Source organism: Homo sapiens, chromosome 5 (genome assembly GCF_000001405.40).
Source record: "Homo sapiens chromosome 5, GRCh38.p14 Primary Assembly".
NCBI lineage: Eukaryota > Metazoa > Chordata > Mammalia > Primates > Hominidae > Homo > Homo sapiens.
In genome coordinates this window covers 34,585,359-34,592,377 of record NC_000005.10, presented here as the reverse complement: position 1 = coordinate 34,592,377, position 7,019 = coordinate 34,585,359, and the positions used below count along the sequence as shown (strand labels likewise).

The 7,019-nt window shown below is 44.6% G+C and overlaps 1 long non-coding RNA gene across 1 annotated transcript; it reads right to left on the bottom strand.

The window, feature by feature from the left end:
• Positions 1-1,156: 1,156 nt before the first annotated feature.
• LOC105374721 (uncharacterized) lies at positions 1,157-6,540 on the bottom strand. Its single transcript, XR_925916.3, has 3 exons — positions 6,492-6,540; positions 3,447-3,559; positions 1,157-2,212 (listed from the first exon to the last, which is right to left on the bottom strand). It is a non-coding gene; the product is annotated as an uncharacterized LOC105374721 (long non-coding RNA).
• Between the last annotated feature and the right edge of the window lie 479 nt (positions 6,541-7,019).

Here is a 7,019-nt window from a genome sequence, read left to right as displayed (position 1 = left end):
AAAATTCTATCCTGGCAGGGATCATTGATGTTGGATGTCACAGGAGGCAGGCTTGCTTCTACACAGTGGGAGCGAGAGGAAGTATCTCTGGAACTCAGGGGACAGCCGGGTCCCCTCTTGGTGCTTCTGTATGGTGAACGGACAACTACAGCAACCATAGGCTGATGAAGACATGGAAATGAGGGGTGAAGGTCTAGGTTACCTCACTGGGCACACAACCTAGACCAGCGAAGGCCAGGATGGGGGTCGGGGGAACCTAGAGTGGGAGAAAGAAGAGTCAGATGATGAAGAGTAGAGTTAGAGCCTTTGGACTAACTGCAGCAGAAGGGGCTGTAGCTTGTCTCACGAATATGCCTGTGATAAATCTTTTTCTTCCTTGGAAACTATGACCAGATGCTTTGAGAAATCATTGATTGGACAGTTTCATGAGTGGATCTGAGTGTGACGGGTTGGGCTGCAGCAGATGCTGTTGGTCCTCTCTCATATTCTCTTGTCTCCCACTGGTCCTGTGCCAGCACAACTCTCACCAGCGGGCTGCTCTGGCCACAGGAGCAGGCTCGACTTGCCCAGGGACAGGCTAGAAATTCCAGGAAGCTCACAACCTCGGGAGTAGCCCTCAACCAATGCAGGATGGGAGCTGGTAGATGAATTCCCAGCTTTCTCACTCCTGGGGTAGCGCACCACTGAAGCATGAGCTCTGTAGTTTCCCAGTGGATGCCTGCGGGAATGGTCCCCAGATACCCGGCAGTGCCCACTCCTTCATGCCCACCATCTTGTTTGTCTTTACTTTCCTGCATCACTTCCCCACTTCCTTACTGGCACTTCCTGCTGTTACCTCTCAAATAAGCTGCTTGCACCCAAATCCTCATCAAATTTTGAGCAAACCCAAACTCAGAGAGTGACCAAGCCAGAAATGAGTCCAAATAATTTCGCTCCAGATTCTATGCCTTGAACTACTATGTTTGCATTAAAGAATGATCCCATAGATATAAAGAGTGCTGACAAGGAGGAAAATGATCCAAATAGCTTTTAAAAGCAGACACAAAAACTATTCCACCATTATAAGCTCTTATAGCCAAGAGTTAGTTTTTTATACAACAGTCCTTTATTTGAAATCAATCTTTGCTAGAGACTTAATGGACACTCATCGGGATGATTCTTTTCCAATAACTGTTTTATTGATTTTTCAGTGGCAGTTTTCTCAAATAACATTTGATAAAGATGGGATTGCATGATACTCAAAGAGGAACCCCTCGCCTTTCAAGAAACAACAGGCACGTGAAGTAAAATTGTGTATATTAATTAGGTGTTTCTAACAACCAAATAAAACGTTGCCCTAGACGCAGAGCAAAATTCTGGTTCCTCCACATTCACAGCTTTGTTAGCATCTTTGGGAATTATCCTCATCCTCAGAGGGAGGAAAAGAGATTAGGAAGAAGCAGGAAAATTGGGCACAGTGGTTCACGTCTGTAATCCCAGCAATTTGGGAGGCAGACACGAGAGAATCGCTTGAGCCCAGGAGTTCGAGATCAGCCTGGGCAACATGGAGAGATCCCATTTCTACAAAAATAAAAAAATTAGCCAGGTATGGTAGTGCACATGTGTAGCCCTAGCTACTCAGGAGGCTGAGGCAGGAGGATTGCTTAAGCCTGGGAGGTCTAGGCTGCAGTGAGTTATGATCATGCCACTACACTCCAGCCTGCACTCCACTTGCACTCCAGCAAAACTCTGTCACAAAAAAAAAAAAAAAGCAAGAAATGATCGCATGTCTTACCTTTCTGCACTAGGTTTGTGGAGCCTACCATTCTTCCTCTGTCCTCGGTCCACCCCTTTCTAACGCCTTGTACTCCGGTTAGGAGTCTGAACTGGGGTGAGCAAAAACCACCCTGAATAGACACTGGCCTGAGAAGGGGTTTGCAGTCTCCTTAAGAGAAGGAGGAAATTGACAATAAGCAACTATGACAAAATCTGACTCTGGGGCCTGGAGTAGTGAGCACTGGCCAGACTGATTTGTGGAGGTAGCCTGGTTGGGTGTGAAAGCACAAAGCTACAGTCATGGGTATTTCTCCAGGTCACATCTTTGTTATTTCCATGAACTGCATTGGCAGTAAAATGTAGAGCCCAACTCTGGAACCAGGTTGTCTGGGTGCCTGGACTGAGTCCCAGCTCCACCACTTACTTGGTGGTTTTACTGAACTTTTCCGCGTTTCATCTGTAAAAGAGGGACAATAATTATATTAGTCAGGGTCTCAGCAAGAAACAGATGTGTTCTCAAATTGAGAAGGGTTTAATAAAGAGACTACTCACCAAAGTGGGCAGGATTAGGGGAAACCAGCATGGGGCAGTGAAGCACCCCAGAGCTAGCAACATCAGGAAGCCAATTCTGCCCTTAGGCCCACAGGTTTTATGAGAATGAAGAGTAACTATGGATTTGCCTGTAGAAAGGGCTGTGTACTCATAGCTGTGGCTCTCAGTGGAGGAACATTGACCCTGCCATCTTTCAGACCCAATGTTTTATTCCCATTCCTGGATATTTGTGCCTCCTGTTAGTAGCCCCCAGTGGCTGAACCCAACTAAGATACAGAGTGCAAAGGAGGCAGGCTAAGGCCATCCATCAAAGCTAGCTTCCTAGGGCCCAGAGCAGAGTGCAGGAGGGCAGACAAGGAATCTAGAGGGATAGATAGAGACTATGGGGCTCAAGAATGGTAGCTACCTCACAGTGTTGTTGTGAAGATTAATATTACAACATAAAGCTCAAAGATCAATGCAGACACATACTTAGTAAGCACTGTAGTAGAGTCTGTTACATTACTGTATCCCTCATATCTCTCTGTGCCTGTTAGCATCCAGGTTGCTGCAGGATTGGTTGAGCCACTCCTTATGCGCTCAGCACCAGTCCAGCTCCTGTCACCAGGAGAATCTCTCTCTGTCAAGGCCAAATGTCTGCTTCTCATCCCTGGGGTATTGCTCTTGTATGACAGTGTCTACCTCTATAATCGGGTCCTGCATCATCTCTGAGGAAAGGAGCTTCAGAGTTGGGCCCAGGAAATGAGCCTCTGGAATGCTGGTCCCTCTGGACAACCTTTCCTTCTCATCTTAGAAAGTAAAACTCCTCCAGCCAGTTAAACACCATCCCAGACAGAAGTTGACCACATCCAGGCTGAGCAGATAGGAAGTCTGCTCTTGCTTCCTCTCTCCCTATCAGTTAGGATCTAAGGACACCTGAGAGTGAGTCCAACTCACTTCCAGAATTGAGTCTTGCCACCTACCTCCTCCAGAATTTAATAATAGATATTGCTACTATCTATTGGGCATATAATTATGGGCCAAATAGTATCTAAGAAGCTTTCCATATCTTATGACATTTAATTTTTATAGCAACTCTGCCAAGAATTAGTATCCCCATTTTACACATGAGGAAATGGAGACTCAGAAGTTTCACCTACACAATGAGTAAGTGGCAGAGTTGAGATGAGTCTGGCTGACTCCAAAGGCCTCTCCATCACATGATGATGTCAACGGATCCAATGTAAATCATGCTTTCTCTTCTAAACTTTTCCTATAGACACAAAATGCATGTAAGCAGAGAAAATGGACTTTTTGTTTGAAAAGTGTATCATTTTTGTGGGAGACAAGATTCACACAAATAGAGCGGTTTGAAAATGATCCAGACCTGTATCAAGCCAGGTGCCACAAACTTTACATGCTGTGGGAGCTTAGAGAAAGGGAAGAATCTCAGTCATTGAGTGGGACTTTGTAAGAAGTTGGTCTCTGATGAGGAGACATGCTCTGCAGACAGAAGTGAGAAATGCCGGCCCCAGCGCGGTGGCTCAAGGCTATAATCCCAACGCTTTGGGAAGTGAAGGAGGGAGGACCACTTGAGCCCAGGAGTTCAACCCAGCCTGGGCAACAAAGTGAGATCCTATCTCAAAAATAAATAAATAAATAAATAAATAAAAACAATTAGCTGGGCATGGTGCCATGCGTCTATAACTCTAGCTACTTGGAAGGCTGAGGCTGAGGCAGGAGAATTGCTTGATCCCAGGAGTTCAAGATCACACCACTGCACTCTGCCCTGGGTGACAGAGCAAGACCCTTTCTCAAAAAAAAAAAAAAAAATAAGCCAATGGACAGGGCAATTGATGGGTAAAGAGAAGGAAGAAGAGAAACAAGCCCAGTAAGTGGAAGAGAATATTGACCTCACTAGAGAAGGGAGCACTAGGGAGTAGCAGATAATGAAGAGGGTTGAGGAAGAATAAGAAAGTCTTTGAAAGCCATAGAGAGGAATTCAGACTCAATGTGGGAGAAAAAGGAACTCATAACAGTTGTGAGGGGGCAGTGCCAGATGAAAGAGTGTCAGAAAGGTTTAGATTTCAGGAGGAAGGGAAGGGACTGAGAGGAGGAGAGGCTATGAAAACATGCTAATGCAAAGCAACAACAACTGAGATAAGAAAGAGAAAATTGCAGCCACCCTTCAAAAGAAGAACTGGCCAGATATGGTAAACAAATTAGTCAGAGCAGATGAGACAAGGATGACTCCACAGTTTTCACCATGCTTGATAAAGGGGACAAGGAGAACAGACAGGGAGAAGAGTCATCTATAAATTGAGCTCATTTAAACGTGAAAGAAGACTTCCCCGAAAAGAAATGAAAAGGATCCCTCTGATAGAGAAGCAAAGTGTTTTGTTTTTGCTTTTGTTTTCTGGAGAGGAAGAATACCTAGCTTTACAAAAAGCTCCTAGATCACCAGTTCTGATAGATCAGAGAAGTCTTTGAATAAACGTCTCTCAGCTTAGAGGCCCCCTCTGTGTGTCTTGAGCTGTGTGTGACTTCAGGGTTAGTGGGCTTAGGAGTCTCACAGAGGGTTGAGGGGACTCCTCCTACTTAGTGTGTCAAAGTGTTCTTGCTAGCCCGAAAAAGAAATCTAAACAAGTCCGATTTGTCATCTTGTTAAATCTCGAGGAATTCAAAAACACATCCTTACTAATCAACTGGTCAAACACTATTTACTCATTGAGCAAAAGTCCTCATCTCGTCGGACCCTGTAAAGGTTTTATACTCAAGGCTTCCCTTGACATAGATTCATTAAACTATATACTTTCATTATCGTTAAGATGTCTAATTGTGTCCAAACTGTTGCCACCAGTAACTTGTGAATTCCATAATCTTTCCATTAAGATCTTGTATTTCCCTGATATTAGCTCCCTTTTTTGGTAAATTTAGGTGTCTCCCTGCAAAATTAATTAAAAAACTAAAATAAAACATACTTTATCTCTCTGATCAGAGGGTCCATTTTCATTTCCTTTGGGGGAAGTAATAATTTAAGTTGTTAAATGCACTTAATTTATAGGTGAATCTTCTCCTTATCTGTCTTTCTTTTTCTTATTTATCGATCACCAGCTGAGAACTGGATTTATTTGTTCTTACTAGTCTTTTAAATATTTCTTTTTATTTCCTATAAATTAAGGGAAACTCATTTTGCCTTGAAAACAACAACTTACTTCAGTGTAAAGTATGCCTCATGTTGTATGATGTTTCCTTTCTTTTTTTTTTTTTTGAGACGGGGTCTGGCTCTGTCACTTGATCTGGAGGCCAATGGCGCGATCTCGGCTCACCCAGCCTGGAATTCCCAGGCTCAAGCTATCCTCCCACTTCAGCCTCCTGAGTGGCTGGGACCACAGGTATGAGCCACTATGGCCGGTTCAAGAGATCCTTCCGCCTCAGCCATCCAAAGTCCTGAGATTGCAGGCGTGAGCCGCCGTACCTGGCCATATGATGTTTCTTTCAAACAATTTGCATGTGCATGTGTATGCAGGTGTGTGTGTTGGCGGTACGGGTTGGGGAGAGGGACTAGGGCAGAGGAAGAAGAGGGGGGTGTAAAGTTTTCTCAGAACTTAGTGGTGGGCGTGTGGCGTAGGTGGTTGAAGAGATAACAAGAGCTCACTTTAAAATGATTGCTCCCCTTTAGCCTCTATCAAATTTTTGAAGAGGCTTTATAAGACCAGACATGAAATGGCATTTCCTGATTAGCTCTCAGGAATACTACGTGTCTACAGACATGAATCACATCCCCTGTTTGTTCATTCCATTTCACAACAGGAACATGAGACATAACTCACCCAGACCTTAACCAACTTTGGTGAGGAGAGGGGTATTCAGCCTTCCTCCTGTGGGATATCCAGCCTGAACTCTGCTCATCTGGTCTGAGACAGAGCCCAGCAGTAAGATTAGAGATTAGGTGCCTGTTTGGTTTGGTCGTGCAGGTAGCCCAGTCAAGAAACTCAGCTTGGCGAGTTTCCATGGTGAAAGGGGAAATAAGAGAGTGGGCCATGGGGTATTTCTCATGTACTAAGATTTTTGAAAGCCACCTGGATCATTTTGACTCAAGGAACATGGCCAGTGCTGTACAGCCTTGTGTTTCCGTCACAATCAGCCACCCATACTTCCCCTCACTCCTTTTCCAGCCAGGTGCTGCCATTCGCCTTTCTTACCTTGCGTGATGGATGGTGGAACAGCTTCCCGAGTCAGCAGGAGGTGAATAAGAGCTCCTGGTGGGGCTGGAAACTTCTGTTTCATGTTTACCTTTGGTTCCTTTGTTTGTACAGCCTTGTACTGTTTTCCATCTAGATTTCTGACCCATTGCCTCCTAGCAACAAGTAGCTTTTGTCTATGCCTTTACCCCTGACTCACTGGTCTAGATTGTTGACCCACTATTTTGCCAGGATCTCTAGGTCATTGTACTTCTTACTACTACCTGTCCCTCTCTTGTTTCCTCCCCTTTCCTTTTTCCTTCCTTCTATTTGTATACATTTACTGAGGATTTAGTGTGAGTAAGCTATGAACAAGTTCTGGGGACCCCACAGCTTTAGCAGAGAAGATGGATGGAGATAAGTAATTATAATAAAGTGGAATAGGTATTATGCCAGAGTTAGTAGAGGGAACAGTGAAAGACTTTATATAGGGCTGGGGAATCTGTATGAGACAGAGAGGGAGACATGAGACTGGAAGGGAAACCAGAA